The sequence below is a fragment of the Homo sapiens genome, chromosome 10, assembly GCF_000001405.40.
Source record: "Homo sapiens chromosome 10, GRCh38.p14 Primary Assembly".
Taxonomy (NCBI): domain Eukaryota; kingdom Metazoa; phylum Chordata; class Mammalia; order Primates; family Hominidae; genus Homo; species Homo sapiens.
In genome coordinates this window covers 65965502-65989073 of record NC_000010.11, presented here as the reverse complement: position 1 = coordinate 65989073, position 23572 = coordinate 65965502, and the positions used below count along the sequence as shown (strand labels likewise).

Sequence of the window (23572 nt, the reverse complement as noted above, 5' to 3'; positions counted from 1 at the left end):
AGCTCTTCGGGGGGCTAAGACTGGAGAATCGCTTGAACCCGAGAAGCGGAGGTTGCAGTGAGCCGAGACTGCACCACTGCACTCAAGCTTGGCGACAGAGTGAGACTCAGTCTCAAAACAAACAATCACAAAAACAATAGCCGTTCTTTGGGATGCGAATATTTTACATATGCGGATGGATGGACGCATAGATTAATACATTTTTTCATGAACCATCGTAGCTAACATATATTTTCTCATGAACACCACAGCTAACATATATAAATTTTTTTCCAGGGGCAAAGGACCACTAAAGCATACAACTGATGTGATCTATGCAGCGAAAATGATATCAGAATCAGGATCAAGGATGGATGTCCTTGCTCGGCAGATTGCTAATCAGGTGAGTTACTTACAAGTGGACATCATAAAAGTTCATGCTAATTGCTCTTTGCCATTAGAACATTGATTTAGGCAAAGTTAAATTTTTACTCTCTTCAACCATTTTTTCTAAATTATAATTGAATTTCTAATAGCTCTATTAATACACTAGGTAATGGACGATTATAAGGAAGCTTAATTATTTCTTAGGGCAGATATTTTTAGCTTAAAACATACTCAAATTATTTCTAGTATCAGCTCTTCAGCATCAAATATACTCAATTAATTTTAATCAATTGTAATTACAAAACCGAGTTTTGTTGTTGTTGATACATTATATTTCTTTCTTTCTTTTTTGGTTGTGTATTTTTAACATTTATTTTCATTATGTTTTATTTTTAATTGACATATAATAATTGCCTTTGTAGAGTACATATATTTCTATACATGTATACACTGTGTATTGATCAAATTAGGTAATGAGCATATACTATTCCTCAAACATCTATCATTTCTTTGTTTTGAACACATTCAAAATCTTCTCATATAGCTATTTTTAAATACACAATAAATTATTAACTATAGTCAGCCTATGTTACAGAAGACTACAATTTATTCCTCCTATATAACTGTATTTTTGTACCTTTAACCAACTTATTTTTATCTTCCCCTCTCCGCTACTCTTCCCTGCCCCTGATAACCATTATTCTATTCATTAATTCTGTGTCATCAACTTTTAAAACTCTCACATATGAGAATATGTGGTACTTGTCTTTCTGTACCTGACTTATTTCACTTAACATAATGTCCTCCAGTCTTGGTCATGTTGCCACAAATGACAGGATTTCATTTTTCTTTGTGCCTGAATATTCCATTGTGCTTGTATACCACATTTTGTTTATCCATCCATTCATTGGTGGACAGTTAGATTGATTCTAACTAACTGATTGACAGGTTGTGAACAGTGCTGCAGTAAGCATAGGAGTGCAGCTATCTCTTTGACATACTGACTTCCTTTTCTTTAAATAAATACCCAGTAATGGATTGCTGGATCATATGGTAGTTCTATTATTAGTTTATTAGTAGTAGTTTTTAAAGAAAACTCCTATTTTCCATAATGGCTGTACTAATTTACATTCCTACCAACAGGGTATGAGTCCCCTTTTCTCTACATTCTTGACAGAATTTATTTTTTGTTCTTTCAATTATAGCAATTTTAATTGGGGTAAGATGATATCTTATTGTGCTTTTGATTTGCATTTTCCTGTCAATTAATGATGTGGAACATTTTTTCATATACCTGTTGGCCATTTGTATGTCTTCTTTTGAGAGATGACTATTCAGATCATTTGCCCATTTTTAAATTTGTTTTATTCTTCTGTTGATATGTCTTATGTATTCTGTATTTTAATCCCTTGTCAAATAGTATGAAAATATCTTCTATCATTCTGTAGGTTGTCTTGTCACTCTGTTAATTGTTTTCTTTGCTGTGCAAAACCTTTTTAGTTTGATATAATCCCATGTGTTTATTTTTGCTTTTGTTGCCTGTGCTTTTGAGGTGTTAGCCATCAAATCTTTGCCAAAATCAATGTCCTGAAGCCCCGTGTTTTCTTCTACTAGTTTTATAGTTTTGGATTTTATGCTAGGCCTTTATTTTGATTGGATTTTTCCATATGGTGAAAGGTAGGGGCCTAGTTTCATTTTTCTGCAATAGATATCCAATTTTCCCACTACTGTTTATTGACTATCCTTTTCTCAATGTGTGTTCTTGACACTTGTTCAAAATCAGTTGGCTATAAATATGTGAATTTATTTTTGGGTTCTCCATTCTGTTCCAGTGGTCTATGTGGTTTTTTTTTTTAATGCCAGTACCATGCAGTTTTAGTTACTATATCTTTGTAACATATTTTGAAGCCAGGTCGTGTGATGTTTCCAGCTTTGCTGTTTTTCTCAGGATTGCTTTGGCTATTCAGGGTCTTTTGTGGTTCTATGTAAATTTTAGGATTTTTTTTTTCTATCTATGTAAAAAATGTCATTGGTATTTTTCTATGGGTTACACTGAATCTGTATATTGCTCTGGGCAGTATGGACATTTTAACAATATTAATTCTTTCCATACATGAACAGAGGATATCTTTTTTTGTCTCCTCTTCAATTTCTTTTATCAATATTTTATAGTTTAATAGTAGGGATTTTTCACCTCTTTAGTTATATTGATTTCTAGGTGTTTTGTTTTTTGTAGCTATGAGAAATAGGATTGCTTGCCTGATTTCTTTTTTAGATTGTTCACTATTTGTGTGTAAAAATGCTGTTGATTTTTGCAGGTTGATTTGATATCCTTCAACTTTATTGAATTTTTTTATCAAATCTAAGAGTTTTTTTTTTTTGGTAGAGCCTTTAGGTTTTTCTTTTTTTTGTATATATATTTTTATTTTTCATTTTTGTGAGCACATGGTAGTCTATATATGTATGGGGTACAGGAAATATTTTGATACAGGCATACAATGTGTAATAATCACAACAGGGTAAATAAGGTACAGGATTCACACTCAGAGTCAACTATCCAGAGACAAAATAAACAAAAAGAAATTTTAATTTTCACTTAGTAGTTTAATTAGTAATAGCAATGTTTTATTACACTTTTGACATTTTCATGAATCAATCAGTAAAGACAAATGGGATAAGAATATATTTAATGAGTACAGAAATATAGTTAGATAGAATAAATAAGATCTAGTATTTGATAGCAAAACAGGGCAACTATAGCCAAAAGTAATTTATTATATGTTTAAAAATAACTAAAAGTTATAACTGGATTGTTTGTAACACAAAGAAAGGTTTTTCTTAATATAAGACCATGTTATCTATAAACTAGGACAATTAGACTTCCTCCTTTCCAATTTGGATACTCTATATTTCTTTCTCTTAGCTAATGGTTCTGGCTAGGCCATTCAGTTCTATGTTGAATAAAAATGGTGACAGTAGGCAGCCTTGTCTTGTTTCAGATCTTACAGGAAAGTCTGTCAATTGTTTCCTTATTTTTGCTCTTCAAAAATTAATACATTTTAAAATGTTATAATGTTAGGTTTTCTGTGTCAACAATATATTCTAATATAATATTTAAAATTCAAAGAAAAGTAGTATTTAGTAGAATACTAAAGATAATACTAAAGATATAAAATGCATAAAATACATAATTAATATAGAGACTGGTGTTCATAAACATTTTAGTTTCCTTTTTTTAGATTTCTCATGTTTATTTCAGTATTTCTAAGCAGCTGCTGCATCCTTAGAAATACTTTACACTTTAACTGAAAAATCTGTTGCTTTCATTAATGTGTTGAGATATTCAATTAATATTTCAGACTGAGGTATAATATTATTTCATGGCTTTTATATTATGTTCAACTTCATAGTACATATTTATTTCCTTTTGGAAAAAAATGAGGATTTTTGCAACTGTTTCATATTATTTCTTGCTTAAATAGTATTAGGGAAAGGTTTTTGGGCTTCTTTTTATAATGATTACTATTGTTCACTATGTTTATACTCTCTTGGAAAATGAAGAACTCTCTCCTATTAAATATTGTATTTGTGGATATAAGGAATAAGAAACAAATAAAGACTAATTATAATAAACTGTTTAATAACATTCCTAATAATAAAGAACATATGTCTTTTCCGTGTTACTTTAATTATTATAAAATTTTATTAATCCTTTTTTTTAGTATTTAGTATTTACAGCTAAAACAAACTATATCCTAAATAAGTCAAAATTTCTGAGTTTGATTATGTGACTGAAGCCTATATATGCCCACAGTTTTCTTTATTTTAGAATCTTATTGCATTCACTTTTATGAGAGACACTAAATCTTAGTGAAATAAGTGAAACATAGTACATGACACATATTTACATGTATTAATAACTTTTTAAATACTGAATGCTTCCTCCCATTTTTTTCTGTTTATTTTGAAACACCCAGTTTTCAAAGTTGACATAATTGTGTCACATTGAAGGTTTTTTTTCTTATATTGATAATCTTCTTTAATTGGATCAGGTTGCCTTGAAGTAGGTACTTCTATAACATGGCTTTATCAAATTATGTCATTGTTTTTAGCATTATTCAAATGGTATGGGAGAAAGCAAAAGTATCATCTTACTTCTGTATAGCTTTGACATTTTAAGAGAAGCTTAGAGAAGTAGTCACTGACTAATAAAGAATTATAGATGACTCTTTTTGGCCTTTTCCATTTCATACATAAAATAGTTTCAGATGAATTACTTTTGTTCTGAAGAAATATAGTTCTAAGTAATCAAAACTGAGAATGAAGAAACTGACTCAGTTATTACAGTGACCATCTAGGGAGGTTGTCTTTGAATGTGCTTCTGACATTATTATTGGATAGATTAAGACATTTTAGGCAGAAAATAATATCTGAAATTGATTATGGAATAAATTGAGTAATGTAAGCAATGTGATTTTCAGTGTCTATGTATATTATGAAAAAAATCTGCTGGAACATTGGTTGCTTTCTCTTTTGATCAATTTAATATTTCAAAAATAATACATTCTAGCTTTAGTTTTTGCTGGTGTGTCAGAAGGTCAAACAGTAATATCCATTCCAACTAACATTAGATTTGAAATTATATATATATTTAAATTATTTAAATGCATGTTTATATATATATCATCTATTACATATATTATTAGACCAATTTAGTTACATTCTGTAAAGTTTCAGAGTTAAAGTTCACATGTAGAAAGAATGAAACAATTAGATTAGTTGATGCTTCTCATTCTGCTTGCTTGGCCTTTTCATTTTTATTTTTCACTTTTCCTTCCTTCATTGCTTCCTTGAGAGAATATTTATTGTGTGTATGCCACACACAATTCACTACTCTGGCATTGGCATTAGCTAGTTAGAAAGAGAAGAACTAAAACCTTCTGTTTAATTTTCCCAGTCATTCAACATTTTTTAGACTTCAGAATTGTCTCAAAATGGCGGTCTCAAAAAAGGCTTAAGTATGCCATCAAAGATATATTTAAGTCTTGTAGAATTTTAGCACAAATTTTGTCTCCTTTAGACAGTATCCTTGTATAAAACAAGATTGTTATAGCTATTCTTACCTATAACAATTCTTAAAAATTTTGCTTGTGAATTAAACAGAATAAGTTGGAGAAGTAAAATATGAATCCAAGATTTCAGGCTTTCAGTACATATTTTTTTCTATTTCTGTACTCTACATTGTAATTAATCATATTAGCAGATATTCTAAATTAGATAAAGTAACATCTCATAAGGTAAGGATAATGCACAAAAAGATTTCAAATAGTTATAGAAGCAGTATAACCTAGATAGGAAGGAGACAATAGGAGCCAAAATAAAATTAGCATCTGCTAAAAGTGTTTTGCACCAGGAGAGAACAGTGTTAGACTTTCTGATCCCTCGGTGATCTTTAAGCAGCCTAATTACTTCCTCCTTGTAATTTTGCCAAAGCAAAGATATTAAGGCTAATAACTGGACATTCCCACCTAATTGTAACTGAACAAAATTAAAACGAACTTTTAGTGTTAAATACATTGGCAGCTAATTCTAATTCAAGAAAAGATGATGTTTAAAAACCAAAGTAAAGAAATATAAACCAAATCACACAAAATGCACTCCATTATGAACAAAACAACCTACAAGTATAATTTGTATTAATATTTTACAAAATATTCTTGGAGGCTGGCCTCATTTGAATTGTTTCATGTTGATATTATAAGAGGCAAAAAAATTATTTCAATGAAACTATACTACTGAGAAGCTTCTGGAGCCTTCATTATATCATGATTACACAACTCCTAAGGATATAATTCCTAGATACACCTTGTGACAATATGCGTATTTTAAAGGTATTACCTATCTGAAATTTATTTCCAGCAGAAATTTTTTAATTTTTTTTTTCAAGAGGTTTTTGGGGAGCAGATGGTGTTTGGTTACATGAATATATATATATACACACACACACACACATATATATATACATACACACACACATATATACCACATTTATATATATATATGTATATATAACATTTTCTTTATCATTCATTGATTGATGGGCATTTGGGCTGATTCCATATTTATGCAATTGCAAATTGTGCTGCTATAAACGTGTGTGCAAGTATCTTTTTCGTATAATGCCTTTTTTTCCTCTGGGTAGATATCTAGTAGTGGGGTTACTAGATCAGATGATAGTTCTACTTTCAGTTCTTTAAGGAATCTCCACACTATTTTCCATACTGGTTGTACTAGTTTACATTCCCAATAACAGTGTAAAGGTGTTCCCTTTTCACTGTATCCATGCCAACACCTTTTTTTGTTGTTTTGTTTTTTCTGATCATGGCCATTCTTACAAGAGTAAGGTGGTATCTCGTTGTGGTTTTGATTTGCATTTCCCCGATAATTAGTGAGTTGAACATTTTTTTCATATGCTTGTTGGCCATTTGTATATCTTTTTTTTTTTGAGAATCGTCTATTCATGTCCTTAGCCCACTTTTTGATGGGATTTTTTTTCTTGCTGATTTGTTTGAGTTATTTGGAGATTCTGAATATGAGTCTTTTGTCAGATGTGTAGATTGTGATGATCTTTCTCCCATTCGGTGGGTTTTCTATTAACTCTGCTGATTATTTCTTTTTCTGTGCAGAAGCTTTCCATTTTAATTAAGTACCATCTATTTATCCTTGTTTTTGTTGCATTTGCTGTTGGGTTCTTGGTCACAGAGTCTTTGCCGAAACCAGTGTCTAGAAGGGTTTTTCAGATATTATCTTCTAGAATTTTTATGGTTTTAGGTCTTAGATTTAATTCTTTCATTCACCTTGAGTTGATTTTTTTATAGGGTGAGAGATGAGAACCCAGTTTCATTCTTCTACATCTGGCTAGCCAATTATCCCAGCACCATTTGTCATATAGGGTGTCCTTTCTTCACTTAATGTTTTTGTTTACTTTGCAAAGATCATTTCACTGTAAGCATTTGGCTTTATTTCTGGGTTCTCTATTCTGTTCCATTGGTCTGTGTGCCTATTTTTATACCAGTACTATGCTGTTTTGGTGACTATGGCCTTATAATATAGTTTGAAGTCAAGTAATGTGATGCCTCCAGATTTCTTCTTTTTGCTTAGTATTGATTTGGCTATACGGGCTCTTTTTTGGTTCTATATGAATCTTAGGATTGTTTTTTCTAACTCTGTAAACAATGATGGTGGCATTTTGATGGGAATTGCATTGAATTCGTGGAATGCTTTTGGAAGTCTGGTCATTTTTACAATATTGATTCTACTCATCCATGAACATGGGAGTGTTTCCATTTGTTTCTGTCGCCTGTTATTTCTTTCAGCAGTGTTTTGTGGTTTTCCTTGTAGAAGTCTTTCACCTCCTTGGTTAGGTATATTCCTAAGTATTTTATTTTTCTTTTTGCAGATTTTGTAAAAAAACGGTTGAGTTCTTGATTTAATTCTCAGCTTGGTCACTGTTGGTATATAGCAGAGCCACTGATTTGAATGCATTAATGTTTTATCCTGAAACTTTGCTGAATTAATTTACCAGTTCTAGGAGATTCTTGGATGAGTCTTTAGGGTTTTCTGGATATATGATCATATCATCAGCAAACAGCAACAGTTTGACTTCCTCTTTACCGATTTGGATGCCCTTGATTTCTTTCTCTTGTCTGATTGCAATGGCTAGGACTTCCAGAGTCCTGTTGAATACAAACGGTGAAAGTGGTCATCCTTGTCTTGTCCCAGTTATCAGGTGAAATGCTTTCAACTTTTCCCCGTTCAGTATAATATTGGCTGTGGGTTTGTCATAGATGGCTTTTATTACCTTAAGGTATGTCATTTCTATGCTGATTTTGCTGAGGGCTTTAATCATAAAGGGATGCTGGATTTTGTCAAATGCTTTTTCTGTGTCTATTGAGATGATCATGTAATATTTTTAAAATTTTTTTATGTGGTGTGTCACATTTATTGACTTGCAGATGTTGAATAATCCCTTCATCCCTGGTATGAACCCCACGTGATTATGGCAGTTTATTTTTTTTTACATATGCTGTTGAATTTAGTTAGCTAGAATTTTGTTGGGGATTTTTGCATCTATTTTCATTAGGGATATTTGTCTATAGTTTTCTTTTCTTTTTTTTTTTTGTTATGTCCTTCCCTGGTTTTGTTACTAGAGTTATACTGGCTTCATAAAATGATTTAAGGAGGATTTCCTCTTTCTCTATCCTGTGGAATAATGTCAATCGGATTGGTATCAATTCCTCTTTGAATATCTGATAGAATTCAGCTGTGAATTTGTCTGGTCCTGGACTTTTTTGTTGTTGTTGTTGGCAATTTTTAAATTACCGTTTCAATCTCGCTGCATATTATTGACCTGTTCAGAGTTTCTATGTCTTCCTGGTTTAATCTAAGAGGGTTATATATTTCCAGGAATTTATTCATCTCCTCTAGGTTTTCTAGTTTATGTATGTAAAGGTGTTCATAGTAGCCTTGAATAATCTTTTGTATTTCTGTGGTATCAGTAGTAATATCTCCCATTTCGTTCTAATTTAATTTATCTGGACCTTCTGTCTTCTTTTCTTCGTTAATCTCACTAATGATCTATCGATTTTATTTATTTTTTCAAAGAACCAGCTTTATATTTCATTTATTTTTTGTATTTTGTGTGTTGGTTGGTTTCAATTTCATTTTATTCTGCTCAGATCTTTGTTATTTATTTTCTTCTCTGGCAGAAATGTTGATGCCTAGATTAGTTCTCCAGATTAATGAACTCCTACTTTATAAAAATAAATGCACAGAAAGTTCTCAAGATTTAAATAGGACTAAATGTATACTGAAATATTTGATCTATTTGCGTCTTTCAAGTAATAGTGAATCTCCTGTTCTAAGAGATGCTGCTTTACTCTTTTCCCCTTTATGTAATGTCTGACATTTTTTCACTGAAACAGTGTTTTAAATGCTCCTAGGGTGATTATCTATTCAGGTTCACTTCATGTATAGTTACAAAACTATGTAACCAAAAAATAAAGTGTTTTAGGGTCTAGGTGGAAGGAGCTATCTTGTATAAGTGGAGAAGAGGAAGGATGAGCAAAGTTTCTTCTTGTAGTTGGCTGGCTATCTTTAATCAAAAATTCCAAATAACCAGAATTTGTCTGAGTTACCTTTCCACCATCTTTTCCACATCCTTATTTTATGTACAGGATAATGCACTTGTATGAGTTTGTTTCAGTCGAAGTAATTCTTTGAATGACAAATTTCAGGCATGAGGGAGAGGGTGACACTTTTGAGTTATGGTCTATTACATAGGACACTCATTTCTTCTGAGAATCTCTCATGGAAGTAACATAAAGCTGAAAAGTAGCTTGAGTCATAACTTTACATCTACTAAAGTAAAGGAGCTTTGTTGAATAAGGAAAACATCTTGTCTTTAATTTGTATTGTGTTCAAAGTACATGTCACTTTCTCAATAGCTGTATGTGCAAACCAAGTTGAAAATAAAAAGGAATTTGAAACAATTCTTAAACTCAAGACAATTTCAGCCTAAATATGGACAAAATATGACAGGATTTTAACAGCATATATAACTTCTGGTAAAAACAACCTTTATTCATTGAGATATGCCATGCACCATACTTTCCCAATTATAACTCTCATAAATCAACATGTCCAGTCTTGAACATACCATATGAGACAATGTTATCCTCTACCACTGACATTATAACAGAGTTCCAGTGTATTTTTAATCATACTTCTATAGGTACCTTCTCTGTTCTGTGTTTCAGAAACCTGAATTTGCTAAACAGCAGCTGTCATAGGCATAGCAAAGAAAAAAATACTTAAAATATATTGAGGTTTCTAGGTGTAGAATAAGCACAAACTAATGGCTGACCAGATTTAAGAGATGGAAAAGAGGAACAAGGCATTCTTCATTGAGATAGTTAATACAAAGAGAAAAAATAGTTGAATAGGTGAGTAGGCAAGATAGTGAAATAGCTGAGAGATAAATGTGTTAAGTGTGAAATGTTGATGAGATGCTGAAATGGCATGGACTAACACAGTAGTTACATGGATCGCCTGATGACAGAGCTGGATGTTAGAATTTTGTAGTTTGTGTTGTGTAAGTGACAGATGAAGCCAGAGCACTGTCTACTGTTGTCCAAGAAGAGAATGAAAGTTAAAAAAAAAAAAATTGCTCAGGAACAAAAGCTGAGAACAACAACACGTGCAAGGAAAAAAAAAAATGCTTACAATACAGTCTGGGAAGGCTGGTGTAAAACTAGGAGAAAATCTAAGAGGAAACATTCATGAGAATTAATATTTATGAAAATCAATAAAGATCTAAAAGCTCCAGAGAGGTGATATAAGGGAGGAACTGCAACATATATAATGAATGCGGCAATTATAAGTCCATTAGTGATCTCAGTAAGATAAAATTCTGCGGACTGGAGGAGTTGAAAACAGTTCTTAGAATGATAAGGAAAGGAGGAATCTGCATTGAAACATTTTAGTAGGCATATTCATAAACAAAAAAGGAGACATGGGATTATAGAAGTCAGGGTTTTGCTTTGAGGGACTTGATAGAGTCAGGAATCAGAAAAAAAAAGGCATTAAAAGTAGAGGAAAAGATGAGATCATTGATGATCTGTGATCCTGAGCAAGATGAAACAAGGCATTACAGGTGAAGAAATGAGCCCTGTGGGATGGGAAAAGTCATGAACACCAAGTGCTTTTGCTACCACTGATCGCTTTAAATTCCTATTTTTGAAATTCACAGTGACACCTAGTACTTTTCATTAACAAACTTTTCCAGCTTAGCAAAATGTAGGCTATTGTCTGTAATTGCAAAATTCGTTTTATTTATTTATTTATTTATTTATTATTTTTTTAATTTTTGAGACGGAGTCTCTCTGTCACCCAGGCTGGAGTGTAGTGGCACGATGTCAGCTCACTGCACCTCCGCCTCCCAGGTTCAAGCGATTCTCGTGTCTCAGCCACCCAAGTAGCTGGGACTATAGGTACGAGTCACCATGCCCGGCTAATATTTCATATTTTGAGTAGAGATGAGGTTTCACCATGTTGACCAGGCTGGTCTCGAACTCCTGACCTCAGGTCATCTGCCTGCCTCAGCCTCCCAAAATGCTGGGATTATAGGCGTGAGCCACCGCACCTGGCTGCAAAAGTCATTTTAAATTTCTTAAAGTTTAGGCTCCAATATGAGCAAAAAAATACTAAGATTATGGAATAAAAGTCTTGAAAAGTGTTCGTTTTGCTAATTCACCCCTGAAATTTAAACTAAAACGTAATGAATTTTTTTTACATTTTTCCTCATTACTAAATGATGTATTCCATATTGGCTCCAAGCGTCTTGGTAGAAACGTGAAAACTGGCTTAAAGTGAGAAAACCACATAGGCTGAAATGCCATCTGCTTACATGTTGTGAGTCCCTGTGATTATAAAACTTAGATTTAAAAAAAAATCATGCATTAAGGAACTAAGTAGATGTTCTGGAAAAGTCCCTAATAGTATTCTTTTAAAAGTTATTTTAAAGCAAATGTTACTTGAGAAACAACAGTAAAGGGCAAGAATGTTCTACCAACCTAGAGACCGAAGTTTTTCTGTCACTTTCACGTAAAAATTTAAAAGGTGGGAAAAGCATTGTTCGATGTTTTTAAATTTAATTTTTTTTGTAAAAATTGTACATATTTAAGGACTTAAGATATACAATGTAATAATCAACAAAATTAAAAGACAACCTATGGTTTGAAAGAAAATATTTGCAAACCATAGATCTGATAAGGAATTAATATCTAGAGTGTATAAGAAACATGCAGAACTCAATAGAAAAAAAATCCAAGTAACCTGATTAAAAAATGGGAAAAGACCTGAATACATAAAAGTGGCCCAAAGGAGATTTGAAAAATAGTAGAATATTCTTAAAGTAGGAATGAGGCATTCTCCTGATTCTGCTTCTAAGTGAGCAAAACTGACTCAGAAAGGCTTTCTGCATGTCAATGGGAAAGAAGGCTTTAATAACTTTTATAAGTATAAGAATTTACCACATAGTATTTTGTTTTACTTTGGTTATAAAACTGACTGCTTCTGTTATAACCAAGATATTCCCATCAGTTCTGAAAATGAAAGGTAAATTTAGGTCAAGCAACTTTGAATTTCAAAAGATCATTTTCACACTTTCTACTCATTTGACTCATTCTTTCCTTAATGGAATTATAGGCTTTTCTACTGTGGCCTTGGAAGAGTCTCTTGATAGAGACAGCATGTTTTGCTTAAACTTGAGTGATTGCAATTGGTTATTGGTCAAGAATCTGATTACTAGTTTGACAGTTTGATTTTATCAGAGTTGTATAGTGGTGCTGGTCTTCAAGGAACAAATCCACATTAATCGAGTTTATAATTGACAAATAAGATTATCAATAAGAAACCAACTTACAAATCAGAATGACAATTTAATATTTACAAAAAAGATAAAATTGGCAAGAAGACTGATACTGTTCCTAGAACATGGAGGTAAGGAGGTGTAGCCAGATTATGTTTGAACACGAGCTCTACCACTAATACCATTTATTGGCAAGTGAGTTAACCTCTCTGTTTGTCAATATTCTCCTTCACTAAATGAGGATAATGATTCCACTTACCTCATGAAACTGTGGGTGTTGTGTGATTATTAAAACAATTAGTAGAGACAAAACATCTAGAATTATAGATGACAGATAAAACACTTTACATGTCAGGTATTATCATTGTGTCCATACTTAAGAATGAAGAATAGATAAGAAAGTTACTCAGTGAAAGCAATAATAACAAAAAATGATTTGAAAGAATGCCCTATAGAAGAGATTATTGTGTATGCATGTGAATGAAACAGAGAAAACTAAATTCAAATCATTTACTCTCTCTGAAACTTACTTTGCAAATCTACAAAATGAAAATAATAGATCTAATTAAAATGGTGCTTTGAGTACTAAAGTTATGCATGTAAAGGCCTTGGCATAGTACCTGGCACAGACGAAGTACCTAATAAAGATCAGCTGCCTGTCAAGAGAAAACAAAGAGATGACTTGTTTTTCATCGTTTTAGGTAATTTCACATCTGTAAATTGGGGAAAATATTTGCGTCTTACAGTTTTAATGATTGAGTGAGAAGATATGCCTAAATTAGTTTCCATAGCATGTGGCACATAGTAAGAGCTAAATGAAAATTAACTATTGTTCTTCCTCCTCTGTCTCTGCCTTCTCCTCTTCTTCCTTTCCCTCTTTCTTTTTCTTTTCTTTCTCCATATCTTTCTCCTTTCCAATCTTCTTCTTAATTAGCTACAATATAATCCTTTTGAGGAGATTTGAGGGATAACCCTCATTTGCTTACTGAAAACTTGAGAAACACCCTTAATTTCTATATTCTTGTCTGATTGTGTCTCTGTCTGGCTATCCTGTATCTATTCATGCATATGTCCATGCCTATCTTGCAGATTGATAGTATTTCTGCAGAAGAGTTGAATTCTTTGCTACCTTTGTTGATTATTATCGACTTTGACTCAGGGTAATGTGTTCTCATCTTGTGCACACACTCTGGAGCTACACAGCCTATTTAAAAAATATAAGACGATAAGTACCTCACAAATTTTCCAAAAACACTCCAGCTTAAGTTATTAATTACTGAATAAAAGCAGAAATGCATGAAAGGTTTTCTGGTTGTTCATCCTACTTTTTAATTTGCAGTTTAGGTCATTAGAATAAAAGCTTTAAAAAATAACATTTTATAGTTATAGAAGAAATATATATTTAAGATATACAAAATTTGAATAAAATAAAAGTATTGATTATATCACATTTATTGATGATTGTCATATATTTCTTTCCCAGCATCTTTTAATTTTTTTTAACCCAGAGTCCAGAATGTATTTATCTTTAATGCATCTAAAAAATAATTTCAACTTTTATTTAGATTCAGTGGGTATATTGCATGATACTGAGGTTTGAAGTACAATTGATGCAATCACCCAGGTAGTGAGCATAGTACCCAATAATTAGTTTCTCAAGCCTTTACTCCCTTCCTCCCTCCCCTGTCTAGTAATCCTCAGTTTCTATTGTGGCCATCTTTATGTCCATCATTACCCATTCTTTACCTCCTACTTGTATGTAAGAACATATGGTATTTGAGTTTTTGTTCCTGCATTAATTCACTTGGGATAATGGCCTCCAGCTGCATCCACATTGCTGCAAGAGACATAATTTCATTCATTCCTTTTTATGGCTGTTATTCCATGGTGTATATGTACCCCATTTTATTTATTCAATCCACCATTGGTGGATACCTAGGTTGATTCCGTGTCCTTGCTTTGTGAATAGTGCTGCAATGAACATATGAATGCAAGTGTCTTTTTGGGTAGAACAATTTATTTTCTTTTGAATATGTACATAGTAACGGGATGAGTGAGTCAAATGTTAGTTATGTTTTAAGTTCTTTGAGAAATCTCCAAACTGCCTTCTACAGTGGCTGAACTAATTTACATCCCCACCAATAGTTTATAAAGTGTTCCCTTTTCTCCACAGCCTCACCAGCATCTGTTGTATTTGACTTTTTAATAATAGCCATTCTGACTGGTGTGAGATAGTATCTTATTTTGGTTTGATTTGCATTTCTATGATTATTCATGATGTTGAGCATTTTTTCACATTGGTTGGCCACTTGTATGTCTTCTTTTGAGAAGTGTCCATTCATGTTTTGATGTGGTTTTGGCATTTGTCCTTCCCAAATCTCATGTTGAAATGCAATCCCCAATGTTGGAGGTGGGGCCTGGTGGGAGGTGTTTGGGTAATAGGGGCAGATTCCTCATGATGAGCTGTCCTCAGGATAGTGCATTATCAGAAGATCTGGTCATTTAAAAGTGTGTGGCACCTCCCACTTCCCTCTTGCTCCTGTTCTCCCCACGTCGTGCACCTGTTCCCACTTCATCTCCTACTGTGAGTAAATATTCCCTGAGCCCCCACCCCAAAGCCAAGTGGATGCCAACGCAATGCTTGTATATCCTGCAGAACCACGAGCCAATTAAACTTCTTTTCTTTATAAATTACCCAGTCTGAAGTATTTTTTTGTAGCAATTCAAGAATGACCTAACTCGTACCATTTACCCATTTTTAATGGGATTGCTTTTTGCTTGCTCAGTTGTTTAAGTTCCTTATAGATCCTGGATAGTAAAACTATGTTAGATTCATAGTTTGCAAATATTTTCTTCCATTGTGTGGGTTGTCTATGTACTCTGTTGATAGTTTGTTGCTATGCAGAAGCTCTTTAATTAGAGATTCCACTTGTCAATTTTTGTTTCTGTTGCAATTGCTTTTGAGAATTTAGTTATAATGTCTTTCCCAAGACTGATGTCCAGAATGATGTTGCCTAGGTTTTTCTTCAAGGATTCTTATTGTGGAGGTCTTATATTTAAATCTTTAATTCATGTTGAGTTAATTTTTCTAGATGATGAAAAATAGGGGTCCAGTTTAATTCTTCTGCCTTTGGCTAGCCAGCTGTCACAGCACCAGATACTGAATAGGGAGTCACTGCTTATTTTTGTCAACTTTGTCAAAGATCAGATGGTTTTAGTTGTGCAGCTTTATTTCTGTGTTCTCTATTCTGTCCCATCAGCCTGTGTATCTGTTTTTGTGCCAGTATCATGCTGTGTGTGTTACTGTAGCCTTATAGTGTAGTTTGAAGTCAAGTAATATGATGCCTCTGGCTTCTTTTTTTTTTTTTTTTTTCCCCCTTAGGATTGCTTGTCTATTCAAGATATTTCTTGGTTTCATATGAATTTTAGAATAGTTCTTTTTCTAGTTCTGTGAAAAATGACGTTGGTTGCTTGATAGGAATAGCATTGAATCTGTAGATTGCTTTGAGCAGCATGGCCATTTTAACGATATTCATTCTTCCAGTTGATGAAATTGAAATGATTTTTCCATTTGTTTGTGTCATCTATGATTTCTTTCAGCAGTGTTGTATAGTTCTCCTTGTAGAGATCTTTCACTTCCTTGGTTAGATGCATGCCTAGGTGTTTTATTTATTTATTTATTTGCAGCTATTGTAAATGGAGTTGAGTTCTTGATTTGGTTCTCAACTTGAATGTTATTGGTGTATAGAAATGCTATTGATTTTTATACAATGATTTTGTATCCTAAAAAATTACTGAAGTCGTGTCTCAGTTCCAGGAGCCTTTTAGTAAAGTATTTTATGTTTTCTGGGTATAAAATCATATCAACAGCAAAGAAATATAGGTTGACTTTTTATTTGTCTAGATGGATACCTTTTACTTATTTATTTTGCCTGATTGCTGTGGCTGGGACTTTCAGTACTATGTTGAATAAGAGAGGTGAGAGTGGGCATCCTTGTAACAGTTTTCAAGGAGATTGGTTTCAGCTTTAGCCCATTCAAGTAGAGATTGGTTTCAGCTTTTGTCCATTCAAGTATAATGTTGGCTGTGGTTTCTCTTAGATGGCTCTTATTATTTTCAGATATGTTCCTTTGATGCATAGTTTCTTGAAGGTTTTTATCATGAAGGGATGTTGTATTTTATCAAAAGCTTTTCCCACATCTGTTGAAATAATCATATGATTTTTGTTATTAATTCTGTTTATATGGTGAGTCATATTTATTGATTTGTCTATATTAAACCAACCTTACATTCCAAGAATTAAGTCTACTTGATCATAGTGAATTAACTTTTTGATGTGCCACTAAATTCAGTTTGCCAATATTTTGTTGAGGATTTTTGCATCTATGTTTATCAGAGATATTGGTATCAGAGATTTTTTTCATTGTATCTTTACCAGGTTTTCCTATCAGGATGATGCTGGTTTTGTTGAATGAGCTAAAGAGGAGTCTCTCCTTCTCCATTTTTTGGAATAGTTTCAGTAGGATTGGTATCAGCTCTTCTATGTATGTTTGGTAGAATTTGGCTGGGGCTCTTTTTGTTGTTGTTGGTGGTGGGTGTTTTATTACTGATTCAATTTAGGAACTCGATTTTGGTCTGTTCAGGGTTTCAGTTTCTTTCTAATTCATTCTTGGAGGATTGTGTGTTTCAGAAATTTATCTTTTCCTCTAGATTTTCTAGTTTGTATGCACAGATGTGTTCCCAATAGTTTCTGAGGCTCTTTTGTATTTCTATGATATTGGTTGCAATGTCACTTTTATAACTTCTGACTGTGCTTATTTGAATCCTCTCTCTTTTTTTCTTTGTTAATCTAGCTAGCAGTCTACCGATCCTGTTTATTTTTTCAAAAAAAAAAAAAACACAACTTTGGTCTTCATTGATTCTTCCTATGAATTTTTAGGTCTCAAATTCTTTCAGTTCCATCTAATTTTAATTTTTTCTTTTCCTCTGCTAACTTTTGGGTTGGTTTATTCTTGTTTTTCTTGCTCCTCTAGGCATGATGTGAAATCATTAATTTGAGATCTTTCTAACTTTTTGAGGTAGGAGTTTACTGCTATAAACTTTCCTCTTAACAGCACTTTTGCTACATCCTAGAGATTTTTATATGTTGTGTCTATTATTTTTATTTATTTCAAAGAATTTTTTGGTTACTGCCTTAATTTCATTGTTTACCCAAAAGTAAATTTATTAGTCCATTTTCACATTGCTATGAAGATACTGAGACTAGCTAATTTATTAAAAAAAAAAAAAGAGAGGTTTAATTGACTAACATTTCACATGTCTAACACTTTTAGTGAGTTGTTGAAGTTCCTCAACATTATCGTGTGGCTATCTAAGCCTTTTTGTAGATCTAGAAGTACTTGTTTTATGAATTCAGATGCTTCAGTGTTGGGTACATACATATTTAGGATAGTTAAGACTTTTTGTTGAATTCAACCCTTTATCATCATGTAATACCCTTCTTTGTCCTTTATTACTGTTGTTGGTTTAAAGTCTTTTTTATCTATTATATATTATATTTTAATATATTTTAAAATACATATATTTTACCTAATATGTTATATATATTATATTTTAAATATATTTTAAAGTACATATATTTTATCTAATATAATAGCCGCTCCTCTTTTTTGTTGTAGTTTAATCTGCAAGATAGATATTTCTTCAACCCTTTACTTTGAGCTTATTGATGCCATTATGTGTGAGATGGGTATCTTGAAAACAGCAGATGAATGGATGTTGTTATTCTATCCAACTTGCCACTCTGTGCCTTTTAAGTGGGGGGTTTAGGCTATTCACATTCAAGGATAATATTAATATGCAAGATTTTGATCCTATCATGAAGTTGTAAGCTGGTTGCTTTATATTTTCTATGGTTTGATTGCGCTATAGATCTGTGGGCTCTGTACTTGTGTTTTTGTGGTAGCAGGTATCAGCTCTATATTTTCCCCATGTTTAGAATTCTCTTAAAGGTCTCTGACACAACTGGCCTAATGGTAATTAATTTTTTTAGTGCTTGTTTGTCTGGAAAATATTTTTATTTCTCTTTCAGTGATAAAGCTTAGCCTGGTGGGATATGAACTTTTTGTTGAAATTTCTTTGCTTCAAGAATTCTGAAAATAGGCCTCCAATCTGTCTCGGCTTATAAATAAGGTTTATGTAGAGAAGTCTGCTTTTAACCTTTTGGGATTTCCTTTGTGTGTCTTCTGACCTTTTTCTCTAGCTGCCTTTGAGATTTTTTCTTTAGTATTGACCTTGGATAGTCTGGTGATTATATGCCTTGGTGACGTTCCTTTTTGTATAGTATCTCTCAAGTGTTCTCTGGATTTCTTATATCTAGATGTCTACCTCTCTAGCAAAATTTGAAACATTTTCTTGATTTATCACTTCAAGTATTTTTTCTAGGTTGTTATCTTTTTCTCAGTCTCAGGAATGTCACTAATTTTTAGGTTTGGCCACTTTACATAATCCCATATCTCTCAAAGACTTTGTTTATTTTATAAAAATTACTTTTTCTTTATTTTTTTCCGACTGGGTCAATTCAAAAGACTGGTCTTCAAGATCTGAAATTCTTTCCTCTACTTAGTCCAGTTTATTGGTGAAGCTTCCAGTTGTGTTTTGAAATTAAATTAGTTTTTTAATTCCAGAATCTCTGATTGATATTTTAAAGATGTTTATCTCTTCCTTCATTCTCTGGATTGCTTTAAAAAGTTTCTTTGTGTTAATTTTCAACCTCATCTTGGATCTTATTGAGCTTCCTTGCAATCCACACTTCAAATTCTTTATCTGTCATTTCCAAGTTTCCACTTTGCTGGGGACCATAGCTGGAGAACTAGTATGGTATGTTGATGGTATCACTACATTTTGAATTTTCATGGTGCTAGAATTCTTACACTGGTTCTTTCTCATCTTGAAGCATTGATACTTCAAATTTTTGTAATTATATTTGTGCAGATATAATTTTTCTTTTCTTTCCCTATAATACTATTGATTTTTTTTTCTTTCCCTTTCCCTTTCCCATCTATTTTTCCCTAGGGAGTGTGACTTTAGAGAATGCTGGGTAAGGTCTTTTGGCTTAACTTGTGTACTCCTACACCTTTCTGTCAGCAGGTTTCATATTGGGCGGTTCAGTTCCACCTACAAGCCTGTAGATGGTGTGTATGACCAATACCGATGGGTGTATACTTCATCCTTGTTTACTAGCAGAAGCTCTTTCTTGCCTCAGGCAATGGGCTTATTCTTGTAGTGCAAAATGCTCTGAGCTCCCTCCTCAGCCCTAGAGGTGTTGGGAGCAAGATGGGCAGGTCCAGACTGGCAGGTTTGCCTATAATTCCCTAAGGGCAGGCATGAGCACCGGTGCTGAAGCATAATCCAGTGAGTGGGTACCAAACACCAAGAGGTGTGCCTAGATATGGAGCTGGGAAGCTTTCTTGTCCTCAAATTCTCTACACACAGATTTGGGGTGGCCTAAACTCCTAATCCAGGGGACTGGGTACTCCAGATGCTGGGTGATCTGCCTAGGCATGAAGCAGAGAGGCTCCTCTACATACCTGGATCCCTGCAGAGAAAGTGTGGGGTGGCTCAGGCTGTCAATCTGAGCAAACATGTACTTTGAATACCTGGAAATCTGCCCAAGCGTGGAGTGGAGAGGGCCTGCTACACCACAATCTATGCACAGAAAGGGTAGGGAAGCTCAGCCTGATGATTTAGGCAAGCTGGTACTCTGAGTGCCTGGAGATCTGCCTGGGTATGGAGCAAAGAGAGTCCTGATGCACCATGATCTATGCCTAGGAAGGATGGACAGCTCAGGCTGTCTCAGCAGGTTTTATTATTTTATTTTTTATTTTTATTTATTTATTTTTTGACACAAGGTCCCACTCTGTTGACCAGGCTGGAGTGCAGTGTTGCAATCATGGCTCACTGCAGCATTAACTTCTCGGGCTCAGGCAATCCTCCCACCTCAGCCTCCTGAATAGCTGGGACCACACCTGGCTAATTTATTTTTATTTTTTGTAGAGATAGTGTCTCCCTATGTTCCCCAGGCTGGTCTCAAATTCCTAGGCTCAAAGGATTTTCCTGTTTCAGCTTCCCAAATTGCTGGGATTATAGGCATGAGCCACTGCGTCTGGCATTCAGCATGTTTTAAATACACACAATTTTTAATAGAATTTGATTGCAATATTTACATATTGATTTTTTTAACTTCCAAAAACATTTTTCCACATCCTTTGAAACTCTATTTTCTTGATACTGAGTAATGCTACATTATATTGATATTCATTCTTATTTAGTCTTTCCATTATTTTGGGACATTTAGGTTATTTCCAAATTTTGTTATTATACATAATGCTACAATGAAGATCTTTGCATATAAATCACTGTCCACATTTCCTTGTTCTTATAAAAATTTACTAAAAGTGGAATTAAATTAGAAGGAATTTTTATAAATTTATTATAATTGCATAGGAGAAAGAACACAAAGATTAAATCTTAACCAAAGCTATTTACCATGGTATGATAAAGCTCAAAGCTGTCCTCCAGGAAGTTCCTTCGAAAAGATAAAATGATGTAGGAGGCTGGTTTTCATAAGGAAATTTAATATTCTAAAACATGTGTCCTGTCTGTTTCTTGGCTTCAGTTGTATTCACAGCTGTTATCTAAGGTAGAAATAATTTCCTTTGTCTGTAACAGCTAAGTACATTGAATGCTGAAAGTAGTAGAACATATTATGTTGCTCCATGTTGTTTATGCCCATTTGAGTAGCACAGGACAGACAGTGTAGAGACCATGAGTCTCAAGCAGCATTCTAATAGTAATTCTAGGAGCCTTCTAATAGTAATTCTAGGTGAAAGAAATAATTACATTTTAAATATTTCTATAGATTTACCAAAAATATAATCTGAAGGCTTCTAACCTTTGTCATAAATTAAAGGCAGCTATTTTATATACCTTTTTATGTCTAAAAATTATTTTAACGTTTCTTGGCCAGGTGTGGTGGCTCACGCCTGTAATCCCAGCACTGTGGGATGCCAAGGCAGGCAGATCATGAGGTCAGGAGATCAAGACCATCCTAGATAACACGGTGAAACCCTGTCTCTACTAAAAATACAAAAAATTAGCCAGGTGTGGTGGCGCATGCCTGTAGTCACAGCTACCCGGGAGGCTGAGACAGGAGAATCACTTGAACCCGGGAGGCAGAGGTTGCAGTGAGCCAAGATCTTGCCACTGCACTCCAGCCTGGGCAACAGAGCGAGACTCCATCTCAAAAAAATAATTATTTTAACGTTCCTTTTGGCTAAGCTGAAGTAACTAAGGTTGCAAAATGAATGAACTATTGTAAATGGTAGAAGCATATCAGAAGCTACTTGGTCCTGTATGAAAATAAAATTGCTGCTTTATAAGGTACCTGCCATGTGAATACTGTATTTACTCACCTTGATCTAACTATTATTTATTCTGCTGTATCTATTTTTATCTTTGATTCATATTTAGTGCCCAGATCCATCTTGTAAACAGGACTTGTTGGCCTACCTGGAACAGATTAAGTTCTACTCCCACCAACTGAAAATCTGCAGTCAAGTTAAAGCTGAGATCCAGAACCTGGGAGGAGAGCTCATCATGTCAGCTGTGAGTACTGCCTAGCACTTACATGATCACAGGTGGAAGATGCTTGAAACAGAGTAACTACACCCTTGTTTACATGACCAAATCTTTTAGGTAAAATTAGTTTAGAAAAACTAAATTGGAGTTTTTATTAAAAGTACATGTATTTAAACTAGCAAGAAATCTTAAACTAGCAGATTTCTTAAAGAAAGGTTAAAAATGTTGTTTTTATTTACTTCAGAGATTAAAGAGTAAATCAAGTTTTATAAGCCAATTGGATAAGAAATGCATGTTAATTTAGAGCATGACTTCAGAATGTGTACAGATGGAACTCCGGAATGAATCCTATAATTTTTCTAAAATAAATGCATGTGGAATTGCAAATTAATAAAATGATTGCTTCGCTGCTATTAATTGATATTCATTTTCCCCCTATTTCTTTTTATAACATAGATGTTCATGTCTTGAGATTTTTCATTTCCATATATATTTTCAGAAATGGAGTATGATAAAACTTAATAGATTTAGAGGAATTTTCATAAATTCTTTGGTGGCCCTGAGTTTTAAGCTGCTATAAATTACCATGGTAGAACTAATGTATACCTTTTCTACTCATCTTTTAATAGCAGTAGATCATTTCTCTGGAGAAGAAATGGTAATAAAATAATATTTGATATCTATATTGGATTCAGTTATCAGTGACTTTGAGAAGGACATGGACTAAGATTATAAATTTAAGTTTAAATGAAACAATATAAATATTCTGGGAATTTATATTTCTGAGAAAATTTTTTTTAATTACACTAGTATATTTATATGTCTGTAACATATAGGGCCTCTCTATCCTGGCATTCGACAGTCCCTCAATGAGTTAATGTTCTGAAAGAGGATGTAATTACAAAAACACAAACAAAGGATCACCATCAAAAGTAGTGGGCAGGAGCCAGTTGCGGTGTTTCAGACCTATAATCCCAGCGCTTTGGTGTCCAGATCACTTGAGGTCAGGAGTTCAAGACCAACCTGGCCAACATGGTGAAACCCTGTCTCTACTAAAAATACAAAAATTAGCTGGGTGTGGTGGCGCATGCCTGTAATCTCAGCTACTCAGTAGTCTGAGGCACAAGAATTACTTGA

General features: G+C 33.4%; 1 protein-coding gene across 8 annotated transcripts in view; it reads left to right on the top strand.

Moving 5' to 3' along the window:
• CTNNA3 (catenin alpha 3) overlaps positions 1–23572 on the top strand; it is a 1851072-nt gene that overhangs the window by 1774521 nt on the left and 52979 nt on the right. For all 8 annotated transcript variants that reach the window (XM_047425124.1, NM_013266.4, XM_017016152.2 and 5 more), the window contains 2 exons: positions 277–382; positions 22328–22462. In XM_047425124.1, coding sequence (XP_047281080.1) covers positions 277–382; positions 22328–22462 — 241 coding nt within the window. The remainder of the gene's footprint in view (positions 1–276; positions 383–22327; positions 22463–23572) is intronic.